Source organism: Homo sapiens, chromosome 3 (genome assembly GCF_000001405.40).
Source record: "Homo sapiens chromosome 3, GRCh38.p14 Primary Assembly".
Lineage (NCBI taxonomy): Eukaryota > Metazoa > Chordata > Mammalia > Primates > Hominidae > Homo > Homo sapiens.
The window spans coordinates 184,961,444-184,985,554 of record NC_000003.12 but is presented as its reverse complement, the minus strand read 5'-3'; the positions used below and the strand labels follow the sequence as shown (position 1 = coordinate 184,985,554).

At 37.4% G+C, this 24,111-nt stretch overlaps 1 protein-coding gene across 21 annotated transcripts in view; it reads right to left on the bottom strand.

Annotated features, from left to right (window-relative positions):
* The window catches only part of VPS8 (VPS8 subunit of CORVET complex), a 240,449-nt gene that overhangs the window by 67,060 nt on the left and 149,278 nt on the right, over positions 1 to 24,111 (bottom strand). For all 21 annotated transcript variants that reach the window (NR_146113.2, XM_047447824.1, XM_024453426.2 and 18 more), the window contains 5 exons: positions 20,998 to 21,087; positions 18,842 to 18,884; positions 13,803 to 13,906; positions 2,908 to 2,989; positions 2,461 to 2,543 (listed from right to left, as the gene is read on the bottom strand). Coding sequence is in view for 20 of the 21 variants with exons in the window: in XM_047447824.1 (XP_047303780.1) it covers positions 2,461 to 2,543; positions 2,908 to 2,989; positions 13,803 to 13,906; positions 18,842 to 18,884; positions 20,998 to 21,087 (402 nt within the window). In the remaining variant the exon portion in view is untranslated. The remainder of the gene's footprint in view (positions 1 to 2,460; positions 2,544 to 2,907; positions 2,990 to 13,802; positions 13,907 to 18,841; positions 18,885 to 20,997; positions 21,088 to 24,111) is intronic.

Genomic DNA, 24,111 nt, shown 5'->3' with positions numbered 1-24,111 from the left:
TATATGGATTCAGAGCAGATAATCCTAAAGGTGGCCACTATTACTTGAATAGAGCCCTATGAATAGTTGTATCAGCACATTTTTTGTCTCTTAAATAAGAGCTCTTATGGGTTCAGAACTATGCCTTTCATCTAAACAGCATAACATACAATTAATATATTTAATTAATAATGAACTCAAAAGACCAGGGACATAAACAAATAAAAAAAGCTCACATGACATAATAAAAAAGAACGTGAATTAGGAAGTGAGAGACTTAGGGGGTGGTCCAGGTTCTGCTGCTAATGATAGGCTAAGAACTCAACTTCTCTATACTTCAGTTTCTTCTTTTTTCAGCAGAAATGTTTATAGTAGCCCTGCCTACCTCAAGGGATTGTTGTGGGCTTCAAATGAAATGATATCTGTGAAAGCACCTTGAAAAATAAAAATCTCTGTACATATATAAGGTAGCATAATTACAGTAATCACAAACATGCAAATGAGGAATTTAAGAAATAGCATACCTTCCTGATTAGTGGGAGTTAACAACCATTGAAAATAGAAAATGATAAGAAAAAATTATAATGAATGCCAGTATAACTCAAAATAAAGTGAAGATTTTCAAATATCAAGAGACTTCTAGATTCCAAAGTCTTGAAATATAAAAAATTTTAAAAATCATGTTTTTGCCAAGAGAAAAACATGTTTTTGTTATAATTTACATATCATAATGTGTGGTTAAAGCTCAATATAAAGCAAAATGTATAGCACAGAGAGAACCCATTTGGCTTTATGATTTCATTTCTTATAACTTACTTGGAAAAGTATTCCTGCCCTTATGGAGATATTACTTTATACATGATTAGAAACCTCATAAGTAATGAGCTTTAAAATGGATATGTGAAGCAGTCTATATCAAAGAATTATTCAACACATGATAATTGCTAAGATCAAATGAAATAATACATGTAAAAATGTGTTCTGGCCGGGCGCTGTGGCTCATGCCTGTAATCCGAGCACTTTGGGAGGCTGAGGCGGGCGGATCACCTGAGGTCAGGAGTTTGAGACCAGCCTGACCAACATGGAGAAACCCGGTCTCTACTAAAAATACAAAATCAGCTGGGCGTGGTGGCACATGCCTCTAATCCCAGCTACTCGGGAGGCTGAGGCAAGAGAATCACTTGAACCCAGGAGGCGGAGGTTGCGGTGAGCCAAGATCACACCATTGCACTCCAGCCTGGGCAACAAGAGTGAAACTGTCTCAAAAAAAAAAAAAAAAAGTATTCTAAATGATAGTATACCATGTAATGACAAAGACTACAGGATGTAGTCATCTTTATCAGAAAAGCCCCAGAAGCTTAATATCAGATGGGAAGTAGAGTTTTTTTTTTTGAGACGGAGTCTCGCTCTGTTGCCCAGGCCGGAGTGCAGTGGCTCGATCTCGGCTCACTGCAAACTCTGCCTCCCGGGTTCACGCCATTCTCCTGCCTCAGCCTCCCAAGTAACTGGGACTACAGGCGCCTGCCACCATGCCCGGCTATTTTTTTGTATTTTTAGTAGAGACGGGGTTTCACCGTGTTATCCAGGATGGTCTCGATCTCCTGACCTCATGATCCGCCCGCCTCGGCTTCCCAAAGTGCTGGGATTACAGGCGTGAGCCACCACGCCCGGCCAAGCTTGGTGAGTCTTAAAAGAGCTGACAGGAACATTCTTCATTGAATAAAAATCATTTGAAAATTATAAAGACTAATGGCATCATATTACGGTTTGCTTTGTATGTGTGTGGGAGGGGGGCGGGGTGCATGCACATGTATGCCTATACTGAATAAAGTGAGGATAGACAAAATGGATTCTAAGTATAATTCCTGTTGTTTCCCCAAGAATGCTCACAGGTTTTTTTCTAAAAATATATCTTGGAGTATTTTGAGTGTTCTCTTTTGATGAAGCCGAGAAGGTTCAGGCTTTTTTGTTGAAAGAAGCAAACCAAAATAATGCTTCCTACAAAAGCTTTGGACACAAAGCCAGCTAGAATTTAGAGTCAAGGATGAGTATTCAAGACAAAAATAATTTTAGGATGAGTTAGAAAGCCTAAATAACAACCAATGCTTAGGAAATTCCTGTATTAATTTTTAGATTATCTTTTTGGAATCTAAAAATTATAATCAGCTGATAACTCCCTCCCAGTTAGCAAACCAATAGGAAACTTGTATATCTGAATCCCAAGGCAACAGGGAATATCTGAAGGCCGCACGCCCTAACTGAAGGTCACAAGCTTATGTCAGGCAAAGTCACACCAAAAAACTGACAGAAAAGATTCAAGAATGAGGGTCGGAAGTTAGATATTTAGATATTTAGCTATTGCCAAAAATTAGCTGCATTATGCTTGAGATCCATTTAAATATTAGCCCAATTCACTGTTATTTATATATAACTAAAATGTTAGTTGAAATCAATATTTAATATTCACCCCTTTTAACTCACCTGTAAGATTCTTTGCAAGATTGATGGAAGGGCAATAAATGCTGCCATGCTATTTAAAACTTGCATGGTCAAAGACTTCAGAGCTGTTATAACAAAATATTAACATTAAGGTTAGTTTAAAATAAGAGTTTTCAGTTTTTCCTATAAGTCTGTGGAAAAACAGTGCATTTATATAGCTTCTTAGAAACTTAGCTAACCAAGGCCTCTTTGATATTTTAAAATTAACTGTTGACAAGTTACAAAGACTACAATTACTTAAGATAAATTATATGAGTGGAACATCAGAAAGAAACATGAAAGATGAGATCAACCATACTATATGGTTTCATTAAGGAAAAATCATAAGAATATGCTATTGGAAAAAGATATTATACTGATAGTTTCTGCAGACAAATATTGGACTGATGATACAGGTGGACTCAGTCACTTGAATTCTGAAGAACTTACCTTCAGAGTGTAGATGAGGAATGGCTGAACTGGACAGCTTCTGAGGGGCCATCATTGCCTCCAATAACGGAAACCAAAGTGCCTATAATGTCAGAGAAAATCAAAGAAAAAGAAAAGTGGTCAAAGAAAACAATGAAAAACAAAAGAATAACTAACATCAGCATGATGTTTTACAGGTTGAAACGTACTTCTCACATACATTTGTTGGTAAACATTAGAAAAAATAAAAATGGAAATATTTGGGGCAAAAAAAAAAAAAGACAATACAAAGCAGAAACCACAGCTAGAACAGGCATCTTTATCATGAAGCCCTGGGAAACGTAAGGAGGCCACTGTTAAGTAAGTCTAGGCCTCGGAACTGCAATCTTATGTGTCTCAGGGGAGGGCAGGTTCAAAGAAGCCAGGAAAGAGCTTCCTGCTAGATTCTTATCTACTCTATTAAAAATTTATCACTGACAAAGTTTAAAATAACACTATTGCTGCATAAAGAAATAAGCACCCCCACTAGCTGTCCCCCACCCAATTTCCTTTAGCTATGTCAAGCAAGAAAAATGAGTAAAGGTTATCCAAAGTTTTTTCTACATCAAGCATTATCTTGTATTTCCTAAGTCATCACGGACCAGGAAATAGAAGTTAAAACTGTATCAGTTAACATGATCAACCATGTCAAGAGATTAAAAAAAAAACTATCATTTATTTATATTATGTTAATCACTATTAAATGCTTTACATTTACATTTTTGCATTTCAATCTCATAATAACCTTATACAGTAGGTATTATCTTCACTAGAGATATGAAATTGAGGCTCACTGAAGTTAAGTAATTTTTCAAAGATCACACAGCCAGTCAATTACCTGACTCTAAATTCTGTGTTCTTCCTAAACCTTAGGAAAAATATTTATTAATGAATGGCCAGGCATGGTGGCTCACGCCTGTAATCCCAGCACTTTGGGAGGCCGAGGCGGGCAGACCACCTGAGGTCAGGAACTCAAGACCAGCCTGGGCAACATGGTGAAACCCCGTCTCTACTAAAAATACAAAAAAATTAGCCAGGCGTGGTGGCAGGTGCCTGTAATCCCAGCTACTCAGGAGGCTGAGGCAGGAGAATCGCTTGTACCTGGGAGGCGGAGGTTGCAGTGAGCCGAGATCACGCCATTGCACTGCAGCCTGGGCAAGAAGAGCAAGACTCGGTCTCAAAAAAAAAAAAAAAAAAAAAAGAACCCACTGCTGCCCTGCTCCCATGAAGACGCTGCCACCCCACCTCTGCTGGTGTGCAGCACACCCCACACCACTGCTGTCCATGCTGGCACAAGCATGTGCACCTGTCATGCCGCTGTTGCTGCTGGCACACACACACAAGGATGGACTCTGGACTCTGCAGCCACTGCCTCAACAAAGTGCTTTAGCTGGCAGCCCCCACTGGAGCATTGCTACCAGCTGACCAGAAACATTTCAGCTCCTCCAATGCAGCAAGTACATAAGCCTGAGGGGCCAGAGCACAAAGCCATAGGCCTGGTCTCAGCCACTCAGGGTTAGAACAAGCAGCTCAGTAGTGCTGAGCTGAGCCTTGGCCCCCTGAAATCTTCCGGAAATGAAGACAGTTGACTGACCCCACATTATACCACAGTCAAACCTTCAAAGGCATCAAAGAATACAAAAGCAAAAAATGCCATCCAAAGTACAGCAACTTCAAATATTAAAGATACACCAGCTTATACGGATGAGAAAGAACTCTGGAAACTCAAAAAGCCAGAGTTTCTTCTTAACAGCAAACAACCCCACTAGTTCCCCAGCAATGGATCTTAAGCATGCTGAAATGCTGAAATGACAGATACAGAATTCAGAATCTGGATAGGAATGAAGATGTTTGAGATTCTGGAGAAAGTTGAATCCAAATCCAATGAATCTTAGGAATCTAATAAAATGATACAAGAGCTGAAAGATGAAATAGCCATTTTAAGAAAGAACCAAACTGATCTGTTAGAGCTGAAAAACTCACTGCAAGAATCATGTAATACAATTGGGAGAATTAACAGCAGAGTAGATCAAGCTGAAGAAAGAATCTCAGAGGTTAAAGACCAGTTCTTCAAATAAAAAATGAAGACCAGTTCTTCAAATAAAAAATAAAGGCAAAAACAAAGAAAAAAAGAAAAAAAATGAACAAAACCTCCAGGAAATATGAGATTATGTAAAGACACCAAACCTTTGGCATTCCTGAAAGAGAGGGAGAGAGGACAAGCAACCTGGAAAACATATTTGAGGATACTGTCCACAAAAATTTCCCTAACCTTGCTAGGTTCTTGACCTTGAGAAGCTGACATTTAAACTCAGGAAATGCAGAGAACCCTTGTGAGATATTATACAAGATGACCATTACCGAGACACATGGTCATCAGATCTCCAAGGTCAACATGAAAAAAAAAACTAAAGGCCGCTAGAAAGAAGGGGCAGGTCACCTACAAAGGGAACCCCATTGGGCAAACAGTGGACTTTTCTGCAGAAACCACACAAACCAGAAGGGATTGGGGGCTTATACTCAGCATTCTTACAGAAAAAAATTCCAACCCAAAACTTCATATCCAAACAAACTAAACCTCATAAGCAAAGGAGAAATAAAATCATTTTCAGACAATGAATGCTAAGGAAATTCGTTACCACCAGACATGTCTTACAAGAGGTCCTCAAGCGAAACATGGAAACAAAAGACTATTACTGGCCACCACAAAAAACACACTTAAGTACATAGACCACTGACGCCATAAAGCAACTACAATGAAGTCTGCACAACAACCAACTAAACACATGATGACAGGATCAAATCTGCACATAACAATAGTATCCTTGAACATAAACAGGCTAAATGCTGCCCTTAAAAGGCACAGAGTGGTAAGCTGGATAAAGAAGCAAGACTCAATAGTATGCTGTCTTCCAAGAGATCCATCTTACACGCAATGATACCCATAGACTCAAAGAAAATGGATGGAGAAAAATCTACCAAGCAAACAAAAAAATAAAAAAGAGCAGGGGTTGCTATTCTAATTTCAGACAAAAGAGACTTTAAAACAACAATGAACAAAAAAGACAAATAAAGGTATTAAATAATGATAAAGGGCTCAATTCAACAAGAAGACTTAAGTATCCTAATACATATGCACCCAACAATGGGGCACCAGATATATAATACAAGTTCTTAGAAACCTATGACGAGACTTAGATAATCACACAATAATAGTGGGAGACTTCAATACTCCACTAACAGTATCAGACAGATTATCGAGGCAGAAAACTAGCAAAGATACTCAGGACCTGAATGTGACACCTGACCAAATGGATCTAAGTGACATCTGCAGAACATTCCACCCAATAATAACAGAATATGCATTCTTCCCATCTCCACCTGGCACATACTCTAAAATCAACCACATGACTGGCTATAAAACAATACTCAACAAATTTAAAAAAATGAAAATCATACCAACCACATTCCCAGACCACAACATTAAAAAAACAGAAATCAGTACTAAGAAGATCTCTCAAAACCATGCAATTAAATGAAAATTAAACAACCCTACTGGATGACTTTTGGGTAAAAACAATGAAATTAATGCAGAAATCAAGAAATTCTTTGAAACCAATGAAAACAAAGATACAGCATACCAGAATCTCTGGGACACAGCTAAAGCAGTGTTAAGAGGTAAGTTTATAGTGCTAAATGCCCACATCGAAAAGTTAGAAAGATCTCAAATTAACAATCTAACATCACACTTAGAGGAACTAGAAAAACAAGAGCCAACCAACCCCAAAGCTAGAGAAGAAACAACCAAAATCAGAGTTGAACTGAATACAATTGAGACAAGAAAAAACAGATAAAAGACTAATGAAACCAAAAGATAATTCTTTGAAAGAATAAATAAGATTTCTAGACCACTAACTAGTAAGAAAAAGAGAGGCCAGGTGCGATGGCTCACAATTGTAATCCCAGCTTTGGGAGGCTGAGGTGGGGAGATTGCTTGAGTCCAGGAGTTCGAGACAAGCCTGAGCAACCTGGGGAGACCCTGTTTCTACAAAAACACAAAAGTTAGCAGGGTGTGGTGGTGTGTGCCTATAGTCCCAGCTACTCTATTTGGGAAACTGAGGTGGGAGGATTGCTTGAGCCTGGGAGGTCGATCATACCACTGCTCTCCAGCCAGGGTGACAGAGCAAGACCCTGCCTCAAAAACAAAAAAAGAAGGAAGGAAAGAGGGAAGAAGAGAAGGAGGGAGGGAGGGAGGACGGATGGACGGACAGAAGGATGGAAGGAATGACGGAAGGAGGGAAAAGGAGAGAAGATCCAAATAAACGCAGTCAGAAATGACAAGGGGACATTAACACTGACCCCCAGAAATATAAAAAATAGCCCTCAGAGACTATTATAAACACCTCTATGCACACAAACTAGAAAACCTAGAAGAAATGAATAAATTCCTGGAAACATACAACCTTCCAAGATGGAACCAGAAAGAAACTGAAACCCTGAACAGATCAATATAACAAGTTCTGAAATTGAAGCAGTAATAAAAAGCCTACCAATGAGAAAAAGGCCAGGACCAGATGGATTCACAGCCAAATTCTACCAGGCATATAAAAAAAACCTGGCACCAATTCTACTGAAACTCTTCCAAAAAAATTACGGAGGAGAGACTCCTCCCTGACTTATTCTATGAGGCCAGCATCACTGTGATACCAAAACCTGGCAGAGACACAATAAAAAAAAAAAAAAAAGAAAAAAGAAAACATCAGGCTAATATTCCTGATGAACATACATGCAAAGGTCCTCAACAAAATACTAGCAAACCAAATCCAGCAACATATCCAAAAGCTGACCCACACCCACAACCATCTGAGCTTTGAAAAAGTTGACAAAAAAAAAAAAAAAAAGATAAGCAATGAGAAAAAGACTCCCTATTCAAGAAAGGGTGCTAGGATAGCTGGGTATCCATATGCAGAAGAATGAAACTAGGGAACTATGTATCACCATATACAAAGATCAACTTAAGATGGATTAGACTTAAATGTAAGACCTCAGAGTATAAAACTCTTAGAAGAATACCTAGGAAATATTATTCTTAATATCAGCCCTGGTAAAGAATTTATGGCTAAGTCCTCAAAAGAAACTGCAACAAAAACAACTGAAAAATGAGACCTAATTAAACTAAAGAGCTTCTGCACAGCAAGAGAAACTATCAATGGAGTAAACACACAACCTAGAGAATGAGAGAAAATATTCACAAACTATGCATCTGACAAATGTCTAATATCTAGAATCTATAAGGAACTTACATCAACAAGCAAAAAACAAATAACTCCATTACAAAGTGGGTAAAGGACATTAACAGACACTTCTTAAAAGAAGACACGCAAGTGGCCAATAAACATATGAAAAAAAATGCTACGCATCACTAATCATCAGAGAAATGCAAATCAATAAGATACCATCTCACACCAGTGACAATGGCTTTTGTTAAAAAGTCAAAAAATAGCGGACATTCACAACGCTGCGGAGGAAAGGGAACACTTACATATACTATTGGTAGGAATGTAAATTAGTTCAACTACTGTGGAAAGCAGTTTGGAGATTTCTCAAAAGAACCGAGAGTTGAACTACCATTTGACCCAGCAATCCCACCATTTGGAATATACCCAAAGGAAAAGAAATCATTCTATCAAAAAGATACATGTACCATATGTTGACTGCAGCACTATCACAATAGCAAAGACATGGACTCAAGAAAGTGCCCATCAACAGTGGACTGGATAAAGAAAATGTGTTACATATACACCATGGAATACTATGCAGCCATAAAAAGAATGAAATCATGTCCTTTGCAGCAACATAAATGGAGCTGGAGGCCATTATCCTAAGCAAACTAACGCAGAAACTGAAAACCAAATACCACGTGTTCTCATTTATAAGTGAGAGCTAATCATTGGGCATATGGTCATAAAAATGAGAACAATAGACACTGGGGAATATAAGAAGGAAGGAGGGGGATAAGAGTTGAATAAAAACTACCTATCGGGTACTATGCTTACCACCTGGGAGACAGATTATTCATTCATACTCCAAACCTCACCACCATGCAATATATCTAGGTAACAAAGGCCAGCATTATTCTGATACCAAAACCTGGCAGAGACACAACAAAAAGTCATGTACTGTCTGATTCTAAAATAAAAGTTGGGGGGAAGAAAGAGCAAGTTAAATGAAAAAACAAAAAAAAAAGTCCAAATACAGGCTGCCAATCAAAAGATGAATAAAAATAAAAATCTAGGAATAAAAAAATTGTAACAAAAAGACTGGTATGATCTACCTAAATAAAAGTTAAACAACTATGGAAATTATAGACACAGAAAAGAATGTGTTATAAACCTTCATTAGGTAAAACACTGTGATTAATTAAAATTAGTAGGTATGTGAAGAGGAGAGTAGGAAGCAAGTATGAGTCCATGGGAATTTCATTATTGGCATGGCATCATACATATCATAAAAATGGAAATGTATAATAATTATAAACATATACACATAATTACAATGGGAGCTAAACATTGGGTATACATGGACGTAATGATGGGAACAATAGATATGGATGAATACAAGAGGGGGAATGAGGAAGGAGGACAAAGGCATATGCAAATTTTCAACTGCAAGGGGGTTGGCACCCCATGCCTTGTGTTGTTCAAGGGTTGACTGTAATACGCCATGATTAAGTGTGACTTATCCTAGAAATGCAAGGATTCAACATGTCAATAAATAAATGTGATACATCACATCAACAGAATGAAGAACAAAAACCACATGATCATCTCAATCAATTCAGAAAAAGCATTTGACAAAATTCAACATCTCTTCATGATACAAATCTCAATAAATTAGGCAGAGAAAGAACACACCTTAACATAATAAAGGCCATATATAACAAAACCCACAGCTAACATCATACCAAAAGGGAAAAAGCTGAAAGCCTTTTTTCTATGAACTTGAAGAAGACAATGATGCCCACTTTTACCACTGTTATTCAACATAGTACTGGAAATCCTAGCTAGAGCAATAAGGCAAGAGGAAGAAATAAAAGGCATCCAAATTGGAAAAAAGGAAATCAAACTGTCCTTATTTGAAAATGACATTATCTCATAGATATGAAAACCTAAAGACTCCACCAAGAAACTGTTAGAACTGATAAACGAATTCAGTGAAGTTGCTGGATTCAAAAATCAACATTCAACAATCAGTAGCATTTCTACATACCAATAACAAACTATCTGAAAAAGAAGTCAAGAAAGCAATCTCATTTACAAGAGCTACAAACAATAAAACAAAATACCTAGGAATACATTTAACCAAGGAGGTGAAAGACCTTTATATGGAAAACTACAAAACTCTGATGAAAGAAACTGAATATACACAAATAAAAAGACATCCCATGCTCATGGATCAGAAGAATATTAAAATGACAATACTACCCAAAGCAATGTGTAGATTCAATGCAATCCCTATCAAAATACCAGTAACATTTTTCACAGAAATAGAAAACACAATCTTAAAATTCATATGGAACTACAAAAAATCCCGAATGGCAAAAGCAATCCTGAACAAAAAGGATACATCTATAGGCATCATACTACCTGATGTCAAAATATATTACAAAGCTGTAATAACCAAAACAGCACAGTACTGGTATGAAAACAGACACATAGACCAACGAAATAGAACAGAGAACCCAGAAATAAATCCACATATTTGTAGCTGACTGATTTTTCACAAAGGAGTCAATAATATACATTAGGGAAAAGACACCCTCTTCAGTAAATGGTGTTGGGTAAACTGGATATCCATATGGCAAAGAATGAAACTAGACTCTTATATCTCACAATATACAAAACTAACTCAGCATAGATTAAAGACTTAAATGTAAAGCCCACATGCATACAACTACTGGAAGAAAATATACGGGAAATACTTCAGGACATTGGTCTAGACAAAAATTTTACAGCTAACACTTCAAAATCACAGGTAACGAAAACAAAAAAATAGACAAGTAGCATTATGTTAAACTATAAAGCTTCTGCACAGCAAGGAAATGATCCAAAGAGTGAAGAGACAACATGTACAATGAGAGATAATATTTGCAAACTAGTCATCTGACAAGGGACTAATATTTAGAATATATAATGAACTCAACTCAATAGCAAAAAAGAACTAAATAATCCAATTAAAAAGTGGGCAAAGCATATGAATAGACATTTCTCAAAAGAAGATGTCAGCCATACAAATGGCCAACAGGCTCATGAAAAAAATCTTCCAACGTCGGTAACCATCAAGAAAGTGTAAATCAAAGTCATCATGAGCCATTACATCACACTTCTTAGAACAGCTATGATAGAAAAGATCAGAGATGAGTCTTGCTGAGGATGTGGAGAAAAGGAAAGCCTTGTACATGGTTGGTGAGCATGTAAATTAGTACAGCCATTTTGGAAAACAGTATGGGGGTTCCTGAAGAAACTAAAAACAGAACTACAATATAATTCAGCAATCCTACTACTGGGTATTTATCTAAAGGAAATATATTGTAATCAGTATATCAAAGGGACACTTGCACCCCTGTTTACTGTGGCACTTATTCACAATAGCCAAAATATGGAATCAACCTAAGTGTCAATCAACAGATGCATGGATAAAGAAAATGTAGTAAATATATACAATAGAATGGTATTTGGCCATAAAAAAGGATGAAATCCTGACACTTGCAGCAACAAGGATGGAAGGGGAGGTCATAATGTTATGTGAAATAAGCCATGCACAGAAAGACAAATATCGCATGTTCTGAATTACATGTGGGGAGCTAAAAAAGTTGACCTCATGGAGGAATAGAGTAGAATGGTTACCAGAAACTGGTAAGGATGGGTGGGGGTATGAGGAGAGATTTGTCAATGGGTACAAGCATACAATTAGATAGAATTTTAATAAGTTCTAATGTTCAACAAAACAGTAGGGTGATTATAGTAAACAATAATTTATTGCATATTTCAAAACCGCTAGAAGACTCAAAATATTCCCAACACAAAGAAATGATAAATGTTTGAGGTGACAGATATCCTAAGTAACCGATTTGATCATTACACATTGTATGCATGTATCAAAATATCACATTAACCCCACGAATATGTATAATTATTATGCATCAATTAAGAACATTCTTTAGTTTTACTTAAGTTTCCTATGGGAAGCTGAGTAATATACATACATTTTTTGAGTACTATATTTTTAAAAGCAAGCATTATTTAATGCAATTTTACTAAAATTATATCAACCTAGGCAGACAAAAAATATCTAAAGTTATGTTCACCAAATGATAATGATGGTTATTTCTGAGTGACAGGATGAATATATTTTAATTTAAAAAAACCCATTCTTCTGCATAACTTTCTATATTTCATGATTTTTAAAAATGATGAGTATGTATCATTTCACAGACAGTTTCTTTTAATAAAGAAAAGCAATCACATTTATGTAACTAGGCTTGTTATACACAATTTACATTCTAAAGACGTTTCATAATTTATGACCTTGAAAAATTCTGGACAAAAACTTAAAGGAGAAATTTACTCATCTCAGAAGAACAGAAAATATGCCATGATTTATTGTTTTCATTGTAACATGTATGGCTAAATATAGATATATAATTAACCTGTTCCCCATTTCAAAAACCCAGGCATTAGAAAGAGGCCAGTGTCAAGTCAGAGGCCTGAGCCCTGGAAGGGCAGGCGAAGAGTTAAGCCATATCATGATACAACTTTACTTCTTAAAACTATTGCAGAATTTAACTATCAAATCACATCTCGCCCCCTTAGTTTCTGCTTCACTGCTGTAACTCCCACCTTGCACCTGCTGCTCAACGATACCTCCTTCAGTTTTGTTTTCTTCTTTTGTGCCATCTGGGATCTGTGATAGCAGTGGTTCCAACCTTGGCTGCACATTGGAATCATGAAGGGAGCTTTAAAACATGGTGGTGGCTGGGTTTCATCCCCAGAGACTTTAATTTAATTGATCTGGGGTGCAGCCTGAGTACTGGAATTGTTCAAAGCTCCCCAGGTGACTCTAGTGTGCAACCAAGGTTGAGAATTAGTACACCATAGGCTTCTTTAACCTTTCTTCAGCTTTCTCTGTAGCCCTTGAGGGCTTTCCTCCAGTTCTTCATGCCTACTTTCACCACAGGGAATAGAGACGATGATAAATGATGACCTATCTCTGGTGCAACTACATGGCATACACAAAATCTCAGTCCAAAGAGAACAGGCACATCTAGCATTCATGCACCTTAAGTTTTGCAGCACAGCCAAACCATGAATATAAAGCCTTTGGTGAGAACAAAGAAGCCACACACTCTTTATAGTAACTTCGGGAGTCTCCTACTCCTGGGAACACTAAGAAGTGATTAAAATCCACTTGAATTAAACCCGGGTGGCTGAGAGGGCAGTGGAAACAGAACTGATTCCTAGTTTCAGACAAGTACAGGCTTTTTTTTTTTTTTGAGATGGAGTTTCACTCTTGTTGCCCAGGGCTGGAGTGCAATGGTGCGATCTCAGCTCAACGCAACCTCCGCCTCCTGGGTTCAAGCGATTCTCCTACCTCAGCCTTCTGAGTAGCTGGGATTACAGGCATGTGCCACCACGCCCGGCTAATTTTTTGTATTTTTAGTAAAGATGGGATTTCTCCATGTTGGTCAGGCTGGTCTCAAACTCCTGACCTCAGGTGATCTGTCCGTCTCGGCCTCCCAAAGTGCTGGGATTACAGACGTGGGCCACCATGTCTGGCCAAGTACAGGCTTTTAAATACCTAAACAGTCATTCTCCTACCTCACGTTGCTGCTGGTTCAAATTATGTGAATTTCTCTGGCAAAGAGCAATGGTCTCCACCATAGTATCTTCAACATCCTTCAATGAGGGATCCTCTTTGGTATCTAGATTTAGAAAAAGTGTAAACATCATTTAAGGATATGTTGCTGATAATCTCAGAGCCTCTGTGAAAAGTTAAACTTCTTTTTCTTTGCATCACCTTCATTTTCTAGTATATAATAATTAATAAAACCTGATGCTAATGTTTTATAGATTAAAAAACAGATTATTCCGTGAAATAAGAGTTTCCCACAGAAATGTTTTACATTCGTAGGACAGATAAAGCACATCACACTTAGCATTTCAATATGCTATGGAAATATGGAAAATCCCCAATCATCTGTCTAAGGATTAGTTACTAGAGAGATTATCATTCACCTTTCTTGGTATACTATCTCTTCTTCTGCCTATTTCTTAAATGTAGATATTTCCCCCAAGATGCTATTTTAGGTCTCTCTTCATTTTCTCAATGATTTCAGCCATTCTTGTTTCAACTCTCATATCTTTGTTCATAACTTTCAAACACACATCTCCAATCTTTATTCCATTCAAAATCTACAGGTTGAATTTTCTAATGAACCTAAGACATTTATTTCCACATGGATGTCCTGCAAGCACTTTCAACTTTATATGTGCAAAACCCAACTTATTTTTCTCATTTCAAATCTGCTCCTCCTCCTCCATTTACAAACCAAGTTAATGGAATCATAATCTTTAAGTCAACCAGTTTATAAATCTTCATCTTTGGTGCTTCCCTCTCCTTCACCCCACACATTCAGATAACTTGCGAATATTTGTTGATTCTACTTCTGTGCTTGCATATGACCACAACTTTTACCCTGGTGGAGCTTTTCATCACCTCGTCTATGCTACTGCAATAGTCTCTTAGTTGAACTTTTGGCATCCCAATCTTGCCTCCCTCATCCTCTTATATACTGTCACTAGGGTTCTCTTAAGCACAAGTTCAAACAGATCAGTCCCTTCCATAAAAACCACCAAGGACTCCTAATTCTGAAAAATAGAATGTAAGTAAGGATCTGACACTAAGTAAACAGAGCAAAGACTTGGGCTCATCTCACCCTCCAAGCTCTGGTGTTGCCCTATTCTTTTTTACTCGCTGATTACTAGTCAGGCACTTCCATGTTCATGTTTTCCTCAGCCTAAAAGGTTCTTCTCCTGCTTCTATCAAACTCCTATTTATCCTTCAAGTCTTTCTTCAAAGGTTTTCCACAAAACTCACTGGTTTATGGGTTACAAATAGTTCTGTAATTTTCCACACACCTTAGTCACTCTCAGTGTACCTTTTATGACACACCATTCTACTGGTACTACAAGGTTTTATTTACTTATCTGTCTCCTTCAGGAGACTAACGTTCTTTGTGCAGTGGGTAGGGGAATCTGTGTTTTAGTAGTCTGTGTATAGCCCATAGGAACAAAGCACAATTAGCAAATCCTCCCAAATACTTAAGCACACTATCAAAATTGAATAGGAAAGTAGATGGGGCCGGTCGTGGTGGCTCATGCCTGTAATCCCAGCACTTTGGGAGGCCGAAGTGGGTGGATCACCCTGAGGTCAGGAGTTTGAGACCAGCCTGGCCAAGATGGTGGAACCCCAACTCTACTAAAAATACAAAAATTAGCTGGGTGTGGTGGCTGGTGCCTGTAACACCAGCCACTCGGGAGGCTGAGGCAGGAAGAATTACTTGAACCTGGGAGGCAGAGGTTGCAGTGAGCTGAGACAGCGCCACTGCACTCCAGCCTGGGCAACGGAGTGAGACTCCGTCTCAAAAAAAAAAAAAAAAAAAAAAAAAAGTAAGAAAGTAGATGGCAGGCATGAGACTATTTCTGGAAAATTTATTTTCACTGGAATTCAAAACACTGGCCTTTGCAAACATACCACCTGCAAATGATTGTAGTGATTTTGGGGGAATGCTCTTCTTAATTTTTTTCTGTCTTTCATGTATTGTCTTGAAAAGTTATTTTTGGCTGGGTGTGGTGGCTCACGATGGTAATCCCAACACTTTGGGAGGCCGAGGCGGGTGGATCACCTGAGGTCAGGAGTTCGAGACCAGCCTGGCCAACATGGTGAAACCCCATCTCAACTAAAAATACAAAGATTAGCTGGGAGTGGTGGCACATGCCTATAGTCCCAGCTACCCAAGGAGCTGAGGCAGGAGGATCGCTTGAACCCGGGAGGCGGAGGTTGTAATGAGCTGAGATCACGCCACTGCATTCCAGCCTGGGCAACAGAGCAAGACTATCTCAAAAAAAAAAAAAAAAAAAAAGGGGGGGGGGTGGGGCTGGGTACAGTGGCTCATACCTGTAATCCCAGCACTTTGGGAGGCCGAGGCAGGCAGATCATGAGGTCAGGAGTTCAAGACCAGTCTGACCAAAACGGCAAAACCCCGTCTCTACTAAAAATACAAAAATTAGCCGGGTGTGGTGGCACGCACCTATAATCCCAGCTACTCGGGAGGCTGAGGCAGGAGAATCGCTTGCACCTGGGAGGCAGAGGTTGCAGTGAGCCAAGATTGCGCCACTGCACTCCAGCCTGGGCAACAGAGCGAGACGCCGTCCCCCCAGAAAAAAACAAAAAGTTATTCTTATAACACTAAAATTTTAAAATTGCCACAAAATGTAACAAACATAACCAAATTGACTAAACACATACTGATAGTACAAAAATGGTAATTAAGTGTCCAGTTGAACTATCAATATAACAAAGTCAATCAAATGTTCACTGATGTTCCAAAAAGATTTACTGTAATACCTGATGATCATAAAACAACATAGACCCTATCATCTAGGACCTTAATACAAAAATATAGGTAAGTAATCTACAGAGAATTAGGGAAATGGTATGTTAGTGAAATGCGTGGACCAAGGAGTCTCTAAGAAACGTGTGTTAAAGAGGATAATCTAAAAATCACCCACCAAGTGATTCCCTGATCTTCAGGAGGGCTGTTTTAAAAATGTCAAGGAATATGAAAACAAACAACCCAATTAAAAAATGGGTAAAGGACTTGAATAGACATTTCTCCAAATAAGGTAGATAAATAGCCAAAATACTCAGGAAAATCATCACTAATCATTAGAGAAATGCAAATCAAATCCATAATTAGATACTACCTCACACACATATGGATAGCTACTATTAAAAAAAAGAGAATATAAATGTCGGAAAGGATGTGGAGAAATTGGAACCCTTGTGTACTGTTGGTGGGAATGTAAAATGAAGCAGCAACTAGGGAAAACAGTATGGCCATTCCTCAAAAAATTAACAGAATTAATGCTTGATCCAGCAATCCCACTTGTGGTTATATACCCAAAAGAATTGAGAGCCAGCTCTTGAAGAGACACTGTACATTCATGCTCATAGAGGCATTAGTCATAATAGACAAAAAGTGGAAGTGGCCCAAGTGTCCATTGAAGGATGAATGAATAAATGAAATGTGGTCTATACATACAATGGCATTTATTCAGCCTTAAAAAGGAAGAAAATTCTGACACATGCTACAACATTTATGAACCTTATGGTAAGTTAAATAAGCAAGTCACAAAACGACAAACACTATATAATTTCATTCATATGAGATACTTGAGTAATCAAATTCAGAAAAAGAATGGTGAAAAAAGAAAGTAAGACGGTATTTGCCAGGGGCTGGGAGGAGAGGGGAATAGGGGAGCTGTTGCTTTATAGGTACAGATTTTCAGTTTGGGAGATTAAAAAATTTGGAGGTGGATGGGGGTAATGATTATATAATTACGTGAATATACTTAATGCTACTGAACTGTATACTCAAAAATAGTTAAAATGGTAAATTTTATGTTAGGGTATATTTTACCCATAATTTAATTTTTTTTTTTTTTTTGAGATGGAGTTTTGCTCTGTTGCGACACCCAGGCTGGACCGCAGTGGTGCAATCTCCGCTCATTGCAACCTCCGCCTCCCAGGTTCAAGCAATTGTCCTGCCTCAGCCTCCCAAGTAGCTGGGACTACAGGTGTGTGCCACCACACCCGACTAATTTTTGTATTTTTAGTAGAGACGGGGTTCACTATGTTGGCCAGGCTGATCTCGAACTCCTGACCTCAGGTGATCCACCTGCCTCGGCCTCCTAAAGTGCTGGGATTACAGGTGTGAGCCACCATGCCTGGCCACCACAATTTATTAAAATAATTTTTTTTGAAATATCAAGGAATATGATGAAAATTTTGTATTTGCTGAGGACAAAACCACTCAAGATACTAAATTGTCAACTTTTACTGCTTTGGGTTAAAACTGTATAAATTCGGTTTGGAAACATTGGCTATGTTCAATGTCCTACTAATTAGAAGCTCTGATTTGCTGTTGTTTGGCACATTAATTTTTAGGATGTTAGTTATATACCTCATTTAAACATAACTAAACCATACTTTTGTTATAGCAAAAGTATAAACAAAAAGATAACCAGCCTAGCGTGGTGGCTTATGTCTACAATCTCACCACCTTTGGAGGCTGAGGTGTGCAGATCACTTCAGCCAAGAGTTCGAGACCAGCCTGGGTGACAGGTGAAACCCCATCTCTACAAAAAATACAGAAATTAGCCAATGTGATGGCATACGCCTGTAGTCCCAGCTACTTGGGAGGGTGAGGCAGAAGGACTGCTTAAGCCTGGAAGATGGAGGTTGCAGTGAGCCAAGATTGTGCCACTGCACTCCATCCTGGGCAACAGAGCGAAAGCCTGTCAAAAAAAAAAAAAGATAACCAACAAACAGTGCATAATTTTCTGTATATTTAACTCCACCGAAAATTAACATCACAAAGCCACAATGGTTTCTATGATTTCCTGTTGTGAACTCTTGAAAATTAGCTAAAATTTGGATCCATGTTAAAATGAATAAACAGTAATTATGCATATATGCAAGTGTAATTATTACATAATAAATGCAATTTATTAAACATCTTTTAAAACATGGGGTCCAAGGATGAAAAATGTTGTAATTATTTTCAAGAACTTACTTTCACCTTGATGTGTTACCTCTTGAAGTTTGCTTTGTAGTCTCTAGGAGATAAAAAGAACATAGGAGTTAAAAAGGAACACTTTATAGTTCTACCCACCCAATACTTGAATTAACATATTTTAAAGGTAAACCCCTCAAAACTACAAGGTTATTAAGAACAGTCCTTTAGTGTCAGTCAGAAGTAAACTCTTCTGTTTATAGAAAGTACAGCTAGCAGTATGAAAAGGGACCCAAAGATCAAGTAGCACTCATTTTGCCCACCTCTGCTTCTGTCATCCCACCACAGTCACTTTGGATAAGGGAATCCAATTCATATTGGGTGATATAGTTTGGATATTTGATTCCTCCAAATCTCATGTTGAAATGTGATTCCCAATATTGGAAGGTGGGACTCAGTGAAAGGTGTCTGGGTCATGGGAGTGGATCTGTCACGAATGGCTTGGTGCGCCCCTCTGTGGTAATGAGTGACGTCTCCCTCTATCAGTTTACATGAGAGCTGGATGTTTAAAAGAGCATGGCACTCCTCCCCCAACCCCACTCTTGCTCCCTCTCATGCCATGTGACACGTCAGCTCTCCTTTACCCTGGCTTCCTGAGGTCCTCACCAGAAGCAGATGCTAGATGCTAACACAGCCTGCAGAACTGTGAGCCAAATAAACTTCTTTTCCTTAAAAATTACCCAGCCTCAAGTATTCCTCTAGAGCAACACAGAAGAGACTAATATACTGGGTTGTGAGTAAAAGGGGTGTAATATACTGGGTTATGAGTAAAAAGCTTATAAGCTAAAATCATCAACTACTTCCTCTCAGTTACCTCATACCATATGCAAATGATCAATAACTTCTCAAATCTATCCCTCTTCTCTCCATTGCCACTGACACACCCAGTTCAAGCTCTCATAGACTCATACCTGTACCATTGCAATGGCCTCCCAAGTATTGTCTGCTTTGTTTTACCTCCCTCTTCTCTGTATCCTGCCTTCCATCCCCCAACAGTCACCAGCGTAGTCTTTATGAAACAAACATCAAATCCGTTTCTTGCTTAAAAACCTTTATTTGATCCTGTGTGACAAGAAGACTAGCTACAATTCTTTAGCGTGTCCAACAAAATCTGTCCAAATCTGGACCTAGCCGTTGTTTCTCGCCTGACCTGCCTATATATTACACAGCGGAGCCCTAGTGAAGCTGCTGGCACTCTCTTGGTCATCCATACTTCTTTGCTTTGTATTCCTAAACCTTTATGAATGATGGCCTCATGCCCCACAGAGATCTCCTGTTTCTCCTCTCATCAATGTCAGAAATACTCTTATTTATTCCTTAATACTAGGTTCATGGTATTGTCAACAAATAAATTGCAAGAAAAAGAAAGAGGTATAGGAGTAATTTACAGATTAAAAGAGATTAAGAGCCTACACAAAGCCTCTGTGGATGATTCTTCCTGGCTTATTTTAGAATCATATGGCTAGAAAGAAACGAGAAGCCAATATGGAACATTTTAAAATATAAATATGATATCCCTAATCTATTCCTAGCCACACGACAATATTAAAAAACACAACAAAACAAAACTGCTACGTCACTTCACCCATCAGGATGGCTACTATCAAGAAAACAGAAAGTGTTAGCAAGAATGCGGAGAAACTGGAACCCCTGAGTGTTGCTGGTAGCGATGTAAAGTGGCATAGCTGCTATGGAAAACAGTAGGGCAATTCCTCAAAAAATTAAAAATAGAATTGCTATTTGATCCAACAATTCTACTTCTGGGTATATATCCCAAAGAAATAAAAGCAAGAACTCAAAGGCGTTTGTACACCCATGTTCACAGCAGCACTGTTCACAACAACCAAAAGGTAAAGCAGCCCAGGTGTCCCCTGAAGGAGGAATGGGCAAACAGATTGTGGTATATATATAAAAATACTTGTCAAAAACTCATCAAATAGTACATTTATGACTTTTTTTTACTGTTGTACATTTTACCTTTTAAAAAAGTACCACAAAGAAATATTAAACTCTAGTTAATGCTATGCATGATAAAAATATTCAGGGGTAAAATATATTACGGTCTGCAACTGGCTTTGAAACATAATTAAGATGGATTCATGAATGAATAGAGGAATAGACAGAAATATGATGAAAGAAACATAGTAAAGTGTTACCTCTAACATTATTAGGAAGGCACCATGAATATCTCCTTTCTTTTCCAATAGATAAGCGGTGACTTCATGAAGTTGATACTTCTGAGTAATCTAGGAAATAAAAAAGATAAATATTTTTATTCACCAATCTTATTTGTGGAGTGGGAAGATCCCATTGAGGATGAAAAAACTCATATGATAAATAATGAATTTATACCTTATTAGTATGATATTTTACAGTACAATATGCAAATAGCTGACTTTCTAGTCATATAGTAGATCATTTGGGAGTTCTAACTGGACCAAATTCACTCATTTTTTTCATTTATTTATTTTAAAAAAATGTTACACACCTGAATTAGGTATACACACTGGAGAAAAGCTAACTTATATACATACATACTAACAATACAAACTAGAACTTGATCAAGTATAATTATTAAAAAATTGAAAATGACAATGAAAACATTACAAATCAACTTGTGAAATATTAATAAAAATTAATAAACAAAATCTCTAATTAGTAAAAAAAGAAGTATCAGTTAGGCTAGGGAGAAAAAAGGAAAAAAGTACAGAAATGACAGCAAAGAGAGATTTCACAAACTCCACTGTAGCTTTTTTGAAAAGATTAACAGGTTAGAAAAAATGTTTATTAGAACAAATAACACATTAACAGTTTAACAGAACAAAGGAAAAAAACATGATAGTCTCAATAAATGCAGGAAAAGCATTTGGCAAAATACAGCACCGAATCATGACAAAAACAAAACACTCTTATTCAAACGGGGGATAACATTTTCTTAATAAAAATTATCTACCAAAATCCTATGATAAATACCATATTTAATGTAAAATATTAGATATGTTCCCTTTTAAATCAGGAACAAGGTTAGAAGTCATACTGTCACTGCTTCTATTCGCCAATACCTTAGAGATCCTAGACATCCAATAAGAAAGAAAAAACTACAAGATTGGAATTAAAATAAAACTGCCATTCTTCTTATTGTCATAAAAATCTAGAAATTGAATTTTAAGAGAATTCTTCCTGGTTGCTCCATAGAAAACAATGTACAAAAATCAGTAACATTTTAAAACAGCAGCAGCAATCAATATAGAAAGGTCATCTTGAGAAATCTCCTTGTACAATATTAACAAAAACTATAAAGTAACTATGAACAAATTTAATATGTGCAGGAACCTTATATAAAAGCTATAAAACCTCACCAAAGAGCAGAAAAGGCAGTTTAAAAGGCATACATTTTCCTGAAAGAGAAGAATCAACACTACAGAGATGTCAGTTCTCTCTGAATTAGTCTATAAATTCAATGTATTCATAAATCAAAATTCCAGAGAGTTTGTATCTTTTAAAGAAACTTGAGAATGTGATCTCCAAATTCATGTGGAATACTAGGAGATGTAGGACACTAAAAATAGCCAAAGCATTTTAAAGAAAAAGAATAAGGAGGGAGGATTCTTTTTCCAAATAATAAATCTATTGAAAAGCTGTATTAATTAAAATATGTGGTATGGATATAGGGAAAGACAACCAAAGGAAGAGAATGGAACCCACAGAGTCATGTATATTTGGGAGTTTAGTATATGGCAGTATGGCATTAAAAATCAGTGAGGAATGGATAATAAAATGCCACATGGACCACTGGCCATCATGTGGAAGATAAAAATCCTTCTTTTGATCAGCTTGCAAAAATTAACTCCAGATGGATTAAAAGCCTAAATGTAAGAAGCTGAACTATAAAATTTATATATAAAAGAGAATGTCCTTTATTCCATTAAAATAGGAAAGGAAATAAGACACACACACACACACACACACACACACACACACACACACACTTAAGCCTTAAAGAATGGTAAACTAAAACAGAAGTCACTAAAAGCCAAGTTAAATGATGTGCCATAATAAATTGGAAGAAAGTACCTCCAACACATAAAATTAGCAAAGGATTAGAGACTGGGAAATCAGAAAAAACTTCTTGAACTCAATAAGAGAAACACAGAAACTCAACAGAAAAAATGGGCAAATGACATGAATAAATAATTCAGAGAAAAGAAAATTCCAATGGTCATCAAACATATGGAAAGATGTTTAATGTCATGAGTAATCACTAATACCCACCATGGCAAAAATTAAGAAGACTAAAAATACTAGGTATCAGCAAGGATGTGAAAAACAGCAAATATCAGACACTGCTGATGAGAATAGAAACAATCTGGAAATCAACTTGGCAATCAGTAGAACTACACTACTTGGTTGTCTAAACAATTCCATTTGCAAGTATATTATTCAGAGAACCCTCATATGGGCACACAAGAAGATATATACAAGGATGTACACTGTAACACTGTTTATAACAGCAAAAGATTGGAAACAATCTAAATGTTTACCAACAGGGAAATAAACAAATTGGCACATTCATTTGATAGATTACCGTAAGATCATTAAATGAATGAAGTAGATCTACATGTATAAAAATGTTTTAAAAATTTAGTAAAAGTGGCCGGGTGCACTGGCTCACGCCAGTAATCCCAGAACTTTGGGAGGCCAAGGTGGGCGGATCTCTTGAGGTCAGCAGTTCAAGACCAGCCTGGGCAACATGGTGAAACCCCATCTCTACTAAAAATACAAAAATTAGCACGGTGGTGTGCACCTATAATTTCAGCAACTTGGGAGGCTGAGGTAGGAGAATCACTTGAATCTGGGAGGTGGAGGTTGCAGTGAGCCGAGATCATGCCACTGCACTCCAGCCTGGGTGACAGAGAGAGACTCTGTCTAAAAAAAGAACAAAAACAAAAAAAACAAAAACAAAAACAAAAAAATTGGTAAAAAAAAAAAAAAGGCAACTTATAATAAAATATCTACTGTATGATATTAATAGAAATTTTAAAAACATATAAAACTAGCATGTATTTTATAGATACATACACATATAGAAAAAATTCAAAACATAGATCAGAAGGATAAACACCAGTTTAGGATGGTGGAGACCTCAGGGGAGAGGGGGGAATAAGACAGATAATGGGTGCTCTACTTTTAATATAAACAAACAAAAACAATAAGATAACAAAGAACTAAGGCCAGTACGGCAAAATGTTAACTATAAAATTTGGTTGGTG